Source organism: Homo sapiens, chromosome 19, assembly GCF_000001405.40.
Source record: "Homo sapiens chromosome 19, GRCh38.p14 Primary Assembly".
Classification (NCBI taxonomy): Eukaryota; Metazoa; Chordata; class Mammalia; order Primates; family Hominidae; genus Homo; species Homo sapiens.
The window spans coordinates 10,884,237-10,900,190 of record NC_000019.10 but is presented as its reverse complement, the minus strand read 5'-3'; the positions used below and the strand labels follow the sequence as shown (position 1 = coordinate 10,900,190).

At 54.6% G+C, this 15,954-nt stretch overlaps 1 protein-coding gene across 4 annotated transcripts in view, besides 2 other annotated features; it reads right to left on the bottom strand.

Moving 5' to 3' along the window:
• CARM1 (coactivator associated arginine methyltransferase 1) overlaps window positions 1–15,954 on the bottom strand; it is a 51,523-nt gene that overhangs the window by 22,885 nt on the left and 12,684 nt on the right. The window lies entirely within an intron of this gene.
• Window positions 329–946: an enhancer, noted in NCBI's record as "H3K4me1 hESC enhancer chr19:11009921-11010538 (GRCh37/hg19 assembly coordinates)". NCBI's record gives its function as "activates a minimal SCP1, AML or CMV promoter by ChIP-STARR-seq in primed H9 embryonic stem cells {active_cell/tissue: H9 hESC(primed)}" and the evidence as "EXISTENCE:reporter gene assay evidence [ECO:0000049][PMID:30033119]".
• Window positions 5,383–6,184: an enhancer, noted in NCBI's record as "H3K27ac-H3K4me1 hESC enhancer chr19:11004683-11005484 (GRCh37/hg19 assembly coordinates)". NCBI's record gives its function as "activates a minimal SCP1, AML or CMV promoter by ChIP-STARR-seq in primed H9 embryonic stem cells {active_cell/tissue: H9 hESC(primed)}" and the evidence as "EXISTENCE:reporter gene assay evidence [ECO:0000049][PMID:30033119]".

Genomic DNA, 15,954 nt, shown 5'->3' with positions numbered 1-15,954 from the left:
TCACGCACATGCCACCACCCCTGGCTAATTTTGTTTATTTTTTTGTAGAAATGAGGGTCTCACTATGTTGCCCAGGCTAGTCTGAAACTCCTGGGGCTCAAGTGATCCTCTCACCTTGGCCTCCAAAGTGCTGGGATTACAGGTGTGAATTTTGTTTCAATAGAAAATGAAAAATGGGCCAGGCGTGGTGGCTCACGCCTGTAATTCCAGCACTTTGGGAGGTGGGCGGATCACTTGAACCCAGGAGTTTGAGACACACCTGTCCAACATGGCAAAACCCCGTCTTTACTAAAAATACAAAAATTAGCAAGGCATGATGGCGGGTGCCTGTAATCCCAGCTACTCAGGAGGCTGAGGCAGGAGAATCGCTTGAACCCGGGAGGTGGAGGTTGCAGTGAGCCGAGATGGCACCACTGCACTCCAGCCTGGACGACAGAGTGAGACTCCGTCTCAAAAAAAAAAAAAAAGAAAAAGAAAAAGAAAACTGTTCCTAACTGACGAGTCCAGGTATGAGGGCCTACAGATATGAGACCTGAAGGGCAGCTCCCCGGCCACACCCAGCCAGTCCTGCCAGACTCTCTCCCACCCCAGGAGCCAGGTGCCGCCCTCCTGAGGGCAGGGCATGGAGGAACCTCCTGAGCCCTGCCAGGAGGGTGTCAGCAGGCCACTGCCCCAGACTCACAGCCTCACTACACCCACAGAGGCCCAAGATAAAGTGCTCCCAGCTGTGGGTGGGTCCCAGGAAGGGACATCCAACCTTGGCATGGTGCCCACACTCATACCCGTCCTGGGGCAGGAGATACTGTCGATCTGTTAGCCACACCTGGGCGACAGCAAGTGGGCCCAGGGAGGCCTGTTTACCAAGCAGCCTGGCAACCCGATGTTGCCTGAGGCGTCCCTCTCTGACCTGGCGCCAGGCAGGCAACTACAGGACCTGTGGCCAAGTGAAGCCTGGCTGTGCCCAGCCAGGGCTAGGGCTGGGCTTGGGCCAAAGATGCCGGGGCTGAGGGCAAGTGGATCGCTTCATCACAGCAGCAGCTGCTAAAGCCCGCGGAGCCGGCAGCTTCTCAAAGTCACAGCTTTATCCCCAAGTTAGTCCCTGGCACACAGAAGACACCTGGGAAATACTGACAAACCAAAAAAAAAAAAAAAAAAAACAAGCTAAGCCGTGTTCCTCTCTTTGTTCAGGAGACTCCCGAGCCTCTGAGCTCTGTGCCCATCATTCCTCATGGCTCTCCCCGTCTTGGCCCCTCCCCATGGACACACTCAACCCTCTAGTCCCTACATGGGCCAGGCCCCAGGCCTCTGCACATGCTGTTCCCACTTTCTCCCTTCCTCTCCCCTCCCTCTGCTACTATGGGTCCAGTGGGCCATCGCACACCTGGCCCAGGGTCACCTCTGAGTAGGCAGGGAATGCACAGCCTGTCTCCTGGCTTGCGAACAGCACCCCAGGAGGAGGGTAGAAGGGAGCCTTGGGGCCCGGGACGCACAGGCATCTGGATCCAGCAGTGGCGATTCAGTGCTCGCCACAGATGCAGCCCTGCCCGCAGGAAACTCACTGTGGCATCCTCTCAAGGCCAGCAACCACCTCCCAAAGCGGCCATTCAGCTGGGGAGGAGCAGTATGGGAGCCGCGGAAGGGGGCAGGACCCCAGGATTCAGAAAGGCCCTCTGTGTTGGCCTCTAGAGACAAATCCAAAAAGCACCACTGTTGCGGCATCAGCCGGCGCATGTTGGGGACTGTGTGCACATGGCCTGGAGAGGTGGGGGACAGGCTGCAGGGCTAGCAGGCAAGGGTGACCAAAAAGCAGACTCTAGAGCCAGGAGGCCGTGGTGAGTTCAGGCCAATTGAGGCCAGGCCACAGCTGGGGTATCTTTTTTTTTTGAGACTAAGTCTCACTCTGTCGCCTAGACTGGAGTGCAGTGGCAAAATCTCAGCTCACCGTAACCTCCATCTCCCAGGTTCCAGCGATTCTCCTGTCTCAGCCTCCCGAGTAGCTGGGATTACAGGCATGCACCACCACACCTGGCTAATTTTTGTATTTTTATTAGAGACAGGGTTTCTTTTTTTTTTTTTCTTTTTTTTGAGACGGAGTCTCGCTGTCTCCCAGGCTGGAGTGCAGTGGCGCAATCTTGGCTCACTGCAGGCTCCACTCCCTGGGGTTCACGCCATTCTCCTGCCTCAGCCTCCCGAGTAGCTGGGACTACAGGCGCCCGCCACCTCGCCCGGCTAATTTTTTTTGTATTTTTTGTAGAGACGGGGTTTCACCGTGTTAGCCAGGATGGTCTCGATCTCCTGACCTCGTGATCCGCCTGCCTCAGCCTCCCAAAGTGCTGGGATTACAGGAGTGAGCCACCGCATCCAGCCTAGAGACAGGGTTTCACCTCGTTGACCAGGCTGATCTCAAACTCCTGATCTCAGGTGATTCACCCACCTCGACCTCCCAAAGTGCTGAGATCACCGGTGTGAGCCACCGTGCCCGGCCCAGAGCTAGCATTTCTTTACCCTGCAGTAAAAGGAAAGGGACTGGGATCTCCAGGTGGAGTCTCCAACGGGGAACGTAAAGAACACAAACCCGGACTGAGTGTTACGCTTTGGCCACCCCTGGACCCAGCCTGGGGCTACTCGCTGGCCTGCCACACTGCAGTCGGCCCTGATGAAGCTCTGGGGCCAAGGGAGGAGGGGCTGGAACTGCAGGGAAGGGGGTAGAAAAATTGCCCCATCTTTGAGGCAGCCTTTCTTGCTTCCCAGGAAGCAGCCCTCCACCATGTGAATCCAGGTCACAAACCCCCAGCTGCCATGAGCCAGGCCTGCCCACACCCTGCAGAGGCTGGGATGTCACATGACATAAGAGTGACAACACTCTAACAGCCAGGCTCTGTTCCGGTGCCTTATGTCGACCTCCTGTTTCCTCTTCTCATCACTTCTGGGAGTATCTACTCTCACTATGCCCTTATTTGCTCAGAGAGGTTAAGTGTCTTGCTCAAGGTCACACAGCAAGAGTGGCCGAGGTGACTGGCACCAGCATCCCTATTCCTCACCAATGCACCACCCAATGTCTCTGCGCTTCCTAGAGCAGGCCTTGGCTGACTTTCTGTGTAAAGGACCAGACAGTAAATATTGTGTGCTTCCTGGGGAATCTGATCTCTGCTGGGGAATCTGATCTCTGCTACAATGATTCTATTCTGCCTTGCAGCAGACAATATGTAAACAAATGAGCATGGCTGTGTGCCCATAAAGCTTCATTTGCAAAACCCGGAAGGATTACAGGTGCAGAGCAGAGGCTGGACCCTCAGCATCCTCGCCACCCACTTCCCTATCTGCTCACTAGGCACTCGGCAATGGAGACACACTCCCCATCCTAGAGGCGGTGAGGACAGCCGAGTGGCAGACTGACAGAGATCCCCAAGTGGTGGACTCTGTAGGTGCCTGGAGGTGGCACCTGACCCAGCCTGGGAAGGAGACTGGGGACAGATATGCCAGTAAGGGGAAGAGTGCAGGAACGCAGGGAAACAGGGGTGGCCCAGACAGTGTGGTGAGCCCTGGGAGGCTACTGGGACAGACCTCCAAGAAACGTGGGTTGATGTGGGTAGGGGCGCTGTGGAGGGACTGCAAGAGGCCCCAGTGGACTGGTGGCTTGGCTCTGGGCAGCACTGGGAGGGATCTTGCGCAGGGTGGGGAGAGACCCACCGTCACACAGGATAGGGAAGGAGCCAAGTGCTATGGCTGGCCAGGCAGGAGGCAATGGGGATGGGGAAGAGGGCAGCTCTTGGTGGACTGGCTGCTGTTCCCCACCTGCCTTAGAGTCAGCATGCTGCACATCCCCTCCTTATTGGCCCCCCAGGGCAGCAGAATCTGGGGGACTCTAAGGTATAAGGATTCCCTAGCCCCAGACTTGAAGAAAATACACTAGAGAATGGTGGGTGGGGCAGCAAGCAGCTCCACGGCAGCCCTGGGTCCCAGCATGCAGGAGGGTCTTGGAAGAACGGGGAGACGTCTCTCAAGGGTCTCACTGAGCAGATGGTGCCGGGCGACATACCATGCCTCAGTCACCTCCCAGTCCACCCTTCAAGCCGCACAGTGTCTAACACAACCCGCCTGCTTCACACCGCCCCACGGTTCCCCAGCACCTTCCGGAACCAGCCCCCTGCCAATGTCTGCAGTCTCACTGCTGCCCCCTGGGTCACTCCAGCCAAACCTCGCTGGCCTTCAACACTCTCTCCCGGTCAAGATCATGGGCAGAGGTTCTCTCTGGCCTCTGATGCTCCTTAGAGATCACCCTCCCCTCTTCCCCTGCTTCCTTGTCACCTCCTCCTAGAGGTCCTCCAGCATTTCCCGGACAAGCCCTCACTGCCTGGCAGCTCATTATTTAATGCCTACCTGACAGCCCCACAAAGCGCAGATCCAGGGCTCTGGGCATGACCCACACAGTACCTAGCACACAAGGGGCACTCATGGGTACTGACCAGAATGCCCTCCCCGGGATAGGGGCAGGGGCAGCCCAGCCTCTTCCCTAAGCACAGGGGGCAGTGGGTTCAGGGGTCTAGGTGTCCAAGTTGGAGTGCTAGCCTGCCCTCACTGTGCGCATGGCCTTGATTGGGGAAGTGGCTTCACCACGCAGAGATGTTTAGCATCAGGTGGCCACACAGCAGCACTATTTGTTCACCTCCTTCCCCTCCCCCTTGCTTCCAGAAAGCAACGGAACAAGCAGGGGGTCTTTGGGCCCTTGAGGCTCGTTAGACCTGGGTCAGGGGGACCTGGAGTCCCTTCAAACCTCCCATCCCTAGGCCAGGCACAGTGGCTTGCGCCTGTAATCCCAGCACTTTGGGAGGCCAAGGCACGTGGATCGCTTGAGGCCAGGAGTTTGAGACTAGTCCGGCCAACATGGTGAAACCTCATCTCTACCAAAAATACAAAAATCAGCCAGGAGTGGTGGTGGGCACCTGTAATCCCAGCTACTTGGGAGGCTGAGGCACGAGAATAATTTGAACCTGGGAGGCGGAGGTTGCAGTGAGCAGAAATCACGCCACTGCCCTCCAGCCTGGGTGATAGAGCGAGACTCTCTCAAAAAGAAAAAAAAAGAGAACCTCCCATGCTGTCGTGACATCAGGGCCACATTCTTTGGCAGATAGAGAATAAGGAGGCCGGCTGGGAACAGTGGCTCCCGCCTGTAATCCTAACACTTTGGAAAGCTGAGCGGGGAGGATCACTTGAGCCCAGGAGTTTGAGACCAGCCTGGGTAACACAGTGAGACCCCATCTTCTACAAATAATAATAAAAAAATTAGCTGGGCATGGTGATGCGCACCTGTAGTCCCAACCATGTGGGAAGTTGTGGCAGGAAAATCCCTTGAGCCTGGGAGGTCAAGGCTGCAGTGAGCTGAGATCGTGCCACTGCACTCCAGCCTGGGCGACAGAGTGAGACCCCATTTCAAGAAGAAAAAAAAAAAGAGAGAGAGAGAAAAAAAAAAAAAACACAAGGAGGTGGAGGGCAAGAAGAAAAGCAGCAGCAGCTCGGGGGAGAAAGGCCACATTTCAAGCTCTTGCATCTCCAGGGGGAACACAACTGTAGCCACCAAATGGAGGAATAATTAAAGCTATTTATCTCGGCAAACCTGGGGCGGGGGAGTAGCTGGTAGCTGTAGAAGCCGTTGTCCAAATGGTACGTCTTGTATTAAATCGCCTCCTGCTGCCAAAGACAACATGGGCTCTTCACCTTCCAGAGGAAAATATTCCCGATCAAAGGAGGAGAGTTAGGTAAAAAGAGGGAGACACCCCGACCCCCCGTGGCCAACTCCCATCCCACAGGCACGGAAAAAAAAACACGCTTTCTGAAGCCCACTCAGCTGGCATCTCTGCTCAGCCTGCTCTGCCCGGACCACATGCAGGCACAGAGGACCTGGCGGTGAACCAGAGAGCCACCCCCGGCCCTCCCATGCTGGGAGTCCACAGTGGGAGGCAGACAGCACCCAGCAGGGCAGTGAGGAGACGGACAACAGGAACTGGCAGTAAGCGCTGAGAGGAGGGAAAGCACGGAAGCTGATGCATGCGGACCAGGCCCAATTCAGATTCCAGGCAGACTCGGGAGGAGGCGACACCTGAGCCAGGCCCCACTGCCCTGGCAGAGGTGACCTTGTTTCCAAACTGGGAACCAGAAGCTTCCCCCCATTCCTGTGTGGCTTGGCACCCATGTGCCCAAGAGGCGGCAGAGATGACCCTAGGGTCACCCAGCAGGGAGATGGCTGAAAGGATGGGCTTTGGCATCAAGGAGGACTTAGGTTTATCAAGGAGGGACTGGGTTCAGGGCCGAACCCACTGTTCTCCAGCCCTGGCCTTGGCTTCCTCATCTGTTCAACCACCACCCTGACACATCCCAAAGGGTGAGGTGACATAACCCACGTGGAGGGCCTGACAGCCCGGCCCCAGGGCACCATCCTGGAACTTCACTAGGTCAGAGCCCACATGCAGCAGAGTCTGGCAGGGCTTGGATCCCCCGAACTAGCACCTGCCTTCACCCCTGGCCTCAGGAGCCCCATCTATAAAATGGGCACAATGACAGGGGGCGGTGGCTCACGCCTGTAATCTCAGCCCTTTGGGAGGCCAAGGCAGGCGGGTCACAAGGTCAGGAGATCGAGACCATCCTGGCTAACACGGTGAAAACCTATCTCTACTAAAAATAAAAAAAATTAGCCGGGCGTGGTAGCGGGTGCCTGTAGTCCCAGCTACTCAGGAGGCTGAGGCAGGAGAATCACTTGAAGCCAGGAGGTGGAGGTTGCAGTGAGCCGAGATCGCACCACTGCACTCCAACCTGGGGGAGAGAGTAAGACTCTGTCTCAAAATGAAATAAAATAGGCACAGTGGGGGCAGTGGCTCACGCCTGTAATCCCAGCACTATGGGAGGCCGAAGCAGGTGGATCATGTGAGGTCAGGAGCTCGAGACCAGCCTGGCCAACATGGTGAAACCCCGTCTCTACTCAAAATATAAAATTAGCCAGGCATGGTGGTACATGCCTGTAATCCCAGCAACTCGGGAGGCTAAGGCAGGAGAATCACTTGAACCTGGGAGGCAGAGGTTGCATTCCACTCCAACCTGGGCAAAAAGAGCAAAGCTCCATCTGAAAAAAATAAAAATAAAAATAAATAAATAAAATGGGCAGGGCCGGGAGTGTTGGCTCACGCCTGTAATCCCACCACTTTGGGAGGCTGAGGCGGGTGGATCACCTGAGGTCAGGAGTTTGAGACCAGCCTGGCCAACATGGTGAAACCCCATCTTTACCGAAAAATACAAAAAATTAGCCAGACATGGTGGCGGGCACCTGTAATCCCAGCTACTCAAGAGGCTGAGGCAGCAGAATCACTTCAACCCAGGAGGCAGAGGTTGCAGTGAGCAGAAATCGTGCCATAGCACTCCAGCCTGGGCAACAAGAGCAAAACCCTGCCTCAAAAAATAAAATAATATAAATAAAATAGGCACAAAATGGGGATGAAAACCCCTCCCTGCAGTGAGGATTCCTAGGTAATGGAGGGAGCTGGAGGTGTTAAGTACTTCATAAACAAGAGCAGCTGCTGTTACCATCATCAGCAACAGATCAATGCCAGCCTCGGAAGAGAATCCCAAACCCCAGAACCCTAACCCGGCCTGGCCTCCCTCTCCTGCCGTAACCTGAGTCGGATCCTCCGATGTCGTCCTCGGAGAAGCTCTGGAGCAGCTGTTCCACTGTGCTGCCCAGCCCCGGGTATCTGAGGACCATGAGGTCACCCTGGGCTCCTCTGGCGCAGCCCTGGCCTCTGGGCGAATCCCAACCCCACTCCAGCACCGGAGCTGGGTGTCCAGGAGCCCTGCAGCCATGGCCCTGAACGGGCACTTCCCCAGCACATCAGAACTATGTCTGAGCAACTGATCAAAAACTTCCGGCCCAGAAATCCCTTTGCAGGGCCTTATGTATGCTACAAGCTCTACTTGCAGAGATACACCTGGATCTGAATGCCCCCAAAGCAGAAAACCTAAATATCCATCAATTAATCAAAGAATGAATAAATGAAGATGTGGCAAATTAAAAGAGATCAATTTCCATCGGTACACACTGACATGTTAAATGATCGAGCCACAACGTAAGGCACAGAGTGGTGTAAAACCTACGCACCACAGGTGTACAGATGGGCGGGGAAGGGACAGAGGGAGGAGGGGCAGTGCACACTGCATTCATGGGGCTTGTCTGGAAACACAATAAAGTGACTTCAGTGCTGCCTCCGGGAAGCAAGTCATACTTTTCAATCCGCACCCTCCTTTGCCATTGTGTGAACGTGCATAACTTGAAGCCCAGCAGGTTGGAGGAGAGATTTATGCGTGCGCGCTTGTATGTGCCTGAGAAACCACAGGTCACGGGCAGTGCGGAGAGAAGGAGAGACTGACTTTTCATGTTACACCCTCCTGAGTGGCTTGAATTTCTCCCTTGTACATGAAAGATAGCCAGACAAAAGGCAATGGCGAAGGCTGGGGGCGGGAGGGCCGGCGTCTACGCAAGTTATCTGGGCCCCTCCCTAGAGTGGGCAGGCCGGACTGGGGACCACCCCCCCAACATCCTTTTGGACCCTGCTGGCTGGGGGAGGGGAGTGGGAACAGGCCCTGAGCCTCTTCTGTGACCCAGCTGGAGGCTGGCGGACAGCCCTGCTTTCCTCAGCTTGGAATCTCCCAGAACAAGCCCTGCACCCACCCCACGGCCCTCAGTGGGTGTGATGGACGTGGGGCAGTCAGCCCAAGGGCATCGGGGCTCCCTGACCTGCATTCCAGCAAGGGAGGCCTCCCAAACGAGCCAGGTGCAGTAAGATCCAGGTTTGAACCTGAGCTCTGCCACCTGCAAGCAAGGGACCATCACCTCCCGACACCTCAGCTTTAGTGTCTAGAAAAATAAAATAACACATGGTTCACTGTGTAGCCATGAGGACGAACCCACCCATGCCCGGCCCAAGACCCACGGGCACACAGTAGTGTGGCATTGGCACAAAACACCAGTCTTGGTTCCTGTGTCCCCACAGTGCTCCGGCTCAAGGCAAAGGGTCGAGAGAAGGAGCCACCGAGAGAGTTCTGGACACAAGGCCATATTGGGCCCAGAACAAGTGTCTGGCCCTGTCCCCCAGGTGGCCACCCCTGGGACCCAACCCATCTGGCACGTGGCTGACAGAGAATCAGCTTCACACACTGCTTGGGAACACTGACTCAGTTTTGGTCTCCCTCTGTCACCCAGGCTGGAGTGCAATGGCCCGCCCAGTCATAGCACACTGCAGCCTCGACCTCCTGTGCTCAAGAAGCAATCCTCCCACCTCCGCCTCCTAAGGAGCTGGGACTTCAGGAAGGATAGAGCTATACCAAGAAAAAAAAAAAAAAAAAAAAAAAAATATATATATATATATATATATGTGTGTGTGTATATGTGTGTGTGTATATGCATGTGTATATATGTGTCTATATATTCATGTGTATATATGTGTGTGTATATATGTGTGTATATATGTATATACGTATACACATATATACGTATATACATATACATATATATATGTAAATAAAACAAAGTAGCTGGGACCACAGGTATGTACCACCACACAAAACTAATTTTTAGGCTAGGCGCGGTGGGGTGGCTCACACCTGTAATCCCAGCACTTTGGGAGGCCGAGGCAGGTGGATCACCCGAGGTCAGGAGTTTGAAACCAGTCTGGCCAACATGGTAAAACCCCATCTCTACTAAAAATACAAAAATTAGCCAGGTGTAGTGGTGGGCGCCTGTAATCCCAGCTACTTGGGAGGCTAAGACAGGAGAATCACTTGAACCCGGGAGGCGGAGGTTGCAGTGAGCCAAGATCGCGCCACTGCACTCCAGCCTGGACAACAAGAGCGAAACTCTGTCTCAAAAAAAAAAAAAAACAAACAAAACAAAAAACAAAAAAACCACCTAATTTTTATATTTTTTGTAGAGACAGGGTCTCCCTATGTTGCCCAGGCTGGTCTCAAACTCCTGGGCTCAAGCAATCCACCTGCCTCAGCCACCTGAGTACCTGGGACCCCAGGCTTGCATGCACCACCATGGAAGGCTAATTTTTTATTTTTCTGTAGAGATGGGGTCTTGCTATGTTGCCCACGCTGGTCTCAAACTCCCAGCCTTAGGCGATCCTCCCGCCTCAACATTTACATCCCACCTGTAAAGTTTAAGCTTTACAGGTTACAGGTTAGCTTTTCAGGCCATTTATGGCCCCTCCAAAAGCCGACCACCAGAGTTAGTATAAAGCTGTTCCCTGGGGAGGGGATTGGATGGGGGGCTTCATTCCATGGGCAAGGTTTCCTTAAAATGAGGGTGGGAAGTGCACAGGTGTTGGCTGCATTCGTCTTCATTCCTTCAAAAATATTTCATGAGAAAAAACAGCCACCTCTTCTGCTGGCCCAAAAGGCCAGGGTCCACGGTTGGATCCGGGCTTGGAAATGCATTGGCAACTCACAAAGTCAAAGTGTTGAATCTACTTCAGGAGTCCCCAAGAATGTAGGATTACAGAAGGTAATAAACAATTCTGGGCCAGGCATGGTAGCTCACGCCTGTAATCCCAGCACTTTGGGAGGCTGAGGCAGGCGGATCACCTGAGGCCAGGAGTTCGAGACCAGCCTGGCCAACTTGGAGAAACCCCGTCTCTACTAAAAATACAAAAAAAAAAAAAAAAAAATTAGCCGGGCATGGTGGTGAACACCTGTAATCCCAGCTACTTGGGAGGCTGAGGCAGAAGAATCCTTTGAACTGGGGAGGCGGAGGTTGCAGTGAGCCGAGATTGCACCATTGCACTCCAGCCTGGGTGACAAAGGGAGACTCTGTCTCAAAAAAAAAAAAAAAAATTCTCAAATTGCGCAGTGACAGGACACTGGGTGGTGTATGGGCAGGGCTGAGAGGCAGCCACCTACGGAACAGAGGTGTCTGTGGGTGTCCTGTTGGCATCTCAGGTAGGCCAAGGCCTCCATGGTGCCCCCAAGCACTACTTGGGGCAGCTGCCCTTTCCCCCTGCCCCAGACTGCCAGGTCAGATCTCAGGAGACAGAGCACTCAATGCGTGCCCCATCTAGGTGGGCTCTGGAGAAAGCCCCCTGAACTGAGGACACCCAAACCTCATAAATCACTGTGAAGCTTCTTCAGTCAGAGGCCTGGGGGGCACTCAGTAGGGGGCTCCCTCTAAGGTCTGGTCCCTAAGCTCCACCTTCAAGGGTCGACAGCTTCCCCTGTAGTCCTGACCTGTGGGTGACAGTCTGCTCAGTTGTGGGGTGTGCGAAGGGCAACCCCAAGAATAGAAGGCCAAGACAAAGAGCTTGGCTTTTCTGAAAAAGAGACGGGGCACCCCCTTCACTGGGAGCTATTACATGCAAATGTCTCCTGCATCCATGCTAATCAGCTGCCACCGCCTGGGGCTTTGTGCACTACAAAAGAGACAGCAGATGTGAGCTGGGGTTCCACAGCCCCAGAAAGCGCGGGAGCTTAGTGGATAATTATGAAAAGCATGGGGTTGTGGAGGGTAGGGGGTGGGGGCGCGGTGCAAAGCCACAAAACCGGCCTGCACCAGCCCCCTCGCTCCACATGCTGTCTGCTGGGCCAGCTCGCCCAGTCTTTCTTCTCCCGCGGGCCAAGACTTTGAAGCTGTGATTTATGGAGCCCCAGGAAGCACTCTTAGGTGTTGGCTGTGCAGGGCCTCGGTTAGTGCTCAAACCACCCTCCAGGTCGACCTTAGTCCTATTTTTAAGAGGGGAAACCAAGCAACAGAGCGATGACAGTCTCCAGGTGGCTCAGCTGGGGACCCAGAAGCTGGTCCAAAGACAGCCAAATTCCATCCCAGCCTCCAGAGAGCCAGCTGGGAGGTACTGGGGGCCACGCTCAGGGGACCCCAGGTTCTACCTGTGCTCTGGGCCTGGGCAATGCCAGGCCAGGCTAGTTGACCCCTGAGCCTCACCACTACAAGGAGGCAATCAAGCCTGCTTCCTGGTGCTAAAGAGGGTCTGTCACATTGTGACACATGGCAGGAGCTGGGCTGCAGCTCTCTATGGGGACTAGGCCAGCAGGAGGCCCTTTGCAGAGGAGACACCCACAGTGGCCTGGAAGGTCGGGCTGAATGAGGCGTGTCATGGAGCGGCAAGAAGACCCCAGGCTGCTGAGGGGGATCATCTCCCAGAGCGACTGGGACCCTCCACACCCTGGCTCTCATTGCCAAGGACAGAGAGCTCAGTGCAGCAAGCTGGGCTGGGGCCTGCCTTCAGGCTGGCAAAAGGGCCTCACCCAGAGGAGGGGAGTACAGGGGGGCGCTCCAGAGAGGCTGGAGCGGAGGCAGCCTCCAATGGAGGAAATCGAAGTTGGGTCAGGGAGAAGCTGCCCTGGGGCTGAGGCCCACTTGAAGTCCCTGCCTAGTGCACCTCTTGAAAGAGTCTGAGTCAGAGCATGCTGGCACATGCCTGTAATCCCAGTGCTTTGGGAGGCCAAGGCAGAGAGATGGCTTGGGACCACGAGTTTGAGACCAGCCTGGGTGACAAAGCAAGACCCTGCTTCTACAAAAAGTAAAACATTTAAAAAAAAATAAAGAATAAGGAAAGGTTTTGACCATCAGCCAGAGACACAGGATGTCCTGGGCCACAAAGCTGCAGGAAGGCCCTCTGCCAGGTCCCAGGGCGCTCCAGGAGCCCTTCTGGCCCCACCAAGGCTCAGAGAACAGTATGTTTGGGTTAGGAAGGCCGCCTTCCGCCCCAGGACCTGCAGGCTGCTTCGCCAGATGTGATTCCAGATGTGGCACAGGCGAAGGGGGCAGACACTACTGATGCCACAAAGAAATCAGGCACACGGCAGGAACCAGGGGAGACGGGACCCTGGCTTTGGCGAGCTCTGGAAGAGGTCGCTATGGCCAACACGGTGACACAGGACAAGGACCAGGAGCAGCAGGGGTAAGCCTTGGGCAGGCACTTCCTCCATGGCCTTGCACTGCCCTGTGGAGGAGTCAGAGAGTGGGAAAAGTGGCAGGAGGGGCTGCAGGGCTGATGGCCAAGTGAACGGATCAGGGCCAAACCTGGGTTCACATCCCAACTCTGCCACCAAAGTTTTAGTGCCTCAGTTTCCTCTTATACAAATTAGGGAGTGAGCTGGGCATGGTGGTGCCCCCCTGCAGTCCCAGCTCCTCAGGACACCGAGGCAGGAGGCCCAGCTCCTCGGGACACCGAGGCAGGAGGCCCAGCTCCTCAGAATGCTGAGGCAGGAGGCCCAGCTACTTGAGAGGCTGAGGCAAGAGGATCATTTGAAGCCAGGAGTTTGAGACCAGCGTGGGCAAAATATTGAGACCCCATTTTTTTTTTTTGAGATGGAATCTCATTCTATCATCCAGGCTGGAGTGCAGTGGAGCGACCTCGGCTTGCTGCAACTCCTGCTGCCCAGGTTCAAGTGATTCTCCTGCCTCAGCCTCCAGAGTAACTGAGATTACAGGTGCCTGCCACTGCACCCGGCTAAATTTTTTTTGTATTTTTTAGTAGGGATGGGGTTTCACCATCTTGGCCAGGCTGGTCTTGAACTCCTGACCTTGTGATCCACCTGCCTCAGCCTCCCAAAGTGCTGGGATTACAGGCGTGAGCCACCGCACCCAGCCCCCATCTCTAAAAAAGAAAAAAAAAGATAAAAGATAAAAATGAGGGAGGGGGCGGGGCATGGTGACTCACGCCTGTAATCCCAGCACTTTGGGTGGTCGAGGTGGGAGGACTGCATGAGCCCAGGAGTTGGAGAGCATCCTAGGCAACATGGTTGAGACCCCGTCTCTACAAGAAATACAAAAATTAGGCCGGGCACGGTGGCTCACGCCTGTAATCCCAGCTACAGGCTGGGAGGCTGAGGCGGGTGGATCACCTGAGGTCAGGAGTTCGAAACCAGCCTGACCAACATGGAGAAAACCCGTCTCTACTAAAAATACACAATTAGCCGGGCGTGGTGGCGCATGCCCGTAATCCCAGCTACTGGGGAGGCTGAGGCAGGACAATCACTTGAACCCAGGAGGTGGAGGTTGTGGTGAGCTGAGATCACACCATCGCACTCCAGCCTGGGCAACAAGAGTGAAACTCCATTTCAAAAAAAAAAAAAAAAAGAAAGAAAGAAAGAAAAAAATTAGCCAGGTGTGGGGCCACCTGCCGTCCCAGCTACTCGGGAGGCTGAGGCAGGAGCATGAACTGAACCTGGGAGGTTGAGGTTGCAATGAGCTGTGTTCACACCGCTGCACTCCCTGTCTCAAAAAAAAAAAAAAAAAAAAAAAAAATGAGGGAGTGAGCTGTGGCTGCTGTGGCTCCCTGTGGGGGGCTGTCCTGATAGCGAGACTTGGAGTGTGTGAGCGGGAGTAAGAGCCAGGCATCCCATCATCCTGCATCTAGGGGCTCCAGGGCTCAAAGGCAGAGCCAGGCTCCTGCAGAGGGTCCCTCAAGGGCACAGGATGGAAATCTGGAAGCTCCAGCCTATCTTCGCCTTCCCGTCCTGTTCAAGGAAGAATGCAGCAAATTCTCTGGAATGTCCCTCCCTCAGTCTGCAAGAGGCACCCCAGTCTTTGATTATTTATTCACATGCCCCCTGCCCGGGATGGTTAACAAGAGCATCCCTCTTTCACGAGAGCACTGATTGGCCAGGGGCCTTTCTGCAGTCCTCGCCAGGAGTAGCACCCATGCCCACACCGCTGGGCAGGTTTTCTATACATAAAACCACTACGCTTGCACATGTGTAACACATCCGGCAAAAATGAACCCCAGCTCCGAGAACACAATTAGCGGGAGAAAGACCTGCCAACGACATAAAGGAAAACAGCTCAGACCCACGCCTGCCAAGGCTAATGAATCGCTTTAAAGAGACAGACAAAAAGGAAGAATAAAAGGGGGTTCTCCTGGCAGGGGTGGGGGGGCACAGAGCCCCCCAAACCCAGTCTGGACCTGTTTACAAGAATGCCCCGCCTGGCAGCAGGGGACAAATGATGAGAGGAACAGACAGGGAAAGAGGGGCTGTCCCACTGAACAAACCTACCCAGAGGGGAACAAGTTCCATGTCTGGCTTTGGGTGGTGGTGACATGGGTGTCCATAATTGTCAAAAGCATCAAACAGAACTAAGGCCTGGGCATGTGTGTGTACTGACTAAACAACAATTAAAATAAATAAGCGGCCAGGCATGATGGCTCACGTCTGTAATCCCAGCACTTTGGGAGGCCAAGGCTGGTGGATCACCTGAGGTCAGGAGTTTGAGACCAACCTGGCCAACATGGGTGAAACCCCGTCTCTACTAAAAATCCAAAAATTAGGCAGGCGTGGTGGCACGTGTCTATGATCCCAGCTACTCGGGAGGCTGAGGGAGGAGAATCGCTTGAACCCGGGAGGCGGAGGTTGCAGTGAGCTGAGATCACGCTACTGCACTCCAGCCTGGGGGACAGAGCAAGACTCAGTCTCAAAAAAAAATAATAAAATAAAGAAGCGATGCAGAGAATCAACACCAGAGGAGACACAGGAGGGGCCTAGAATCTCCAGACCCAACTCCTTCAGCCCTGGGTTAGGCCTGGTCTCCATTTCCTTCATGTAACTGCTTTTTGGGGAACAAAGGCAAGCACAGGGGGAGGGGGGGCAACTGGGGACTCCAGATTCTTCAACCAAAAGTCAGAGCTGTGTAGTGTCAAAGTGGCAGGTTGGGCTGGGCACAGTGACTCAGGCCTGTAATCCTAGATCTTTGGGAGGCCAAGGAGGGGAGGACTGCTTATGTCCAGGAGTTTGAGACCGGCCTGGACAACATACTAGAGAGCCCATCTCTATGTCTTTTTGTTTTTTTTTTTTTTTGAGACGGAGTTTTGCTCTTGTTGACCAGGCTGGAGTGCAGTTGTGTGATCTGTGGTCACCACAACCTCCATCTCCTGGGTTCAAGAGATTCTCCTGCCTCAGCCT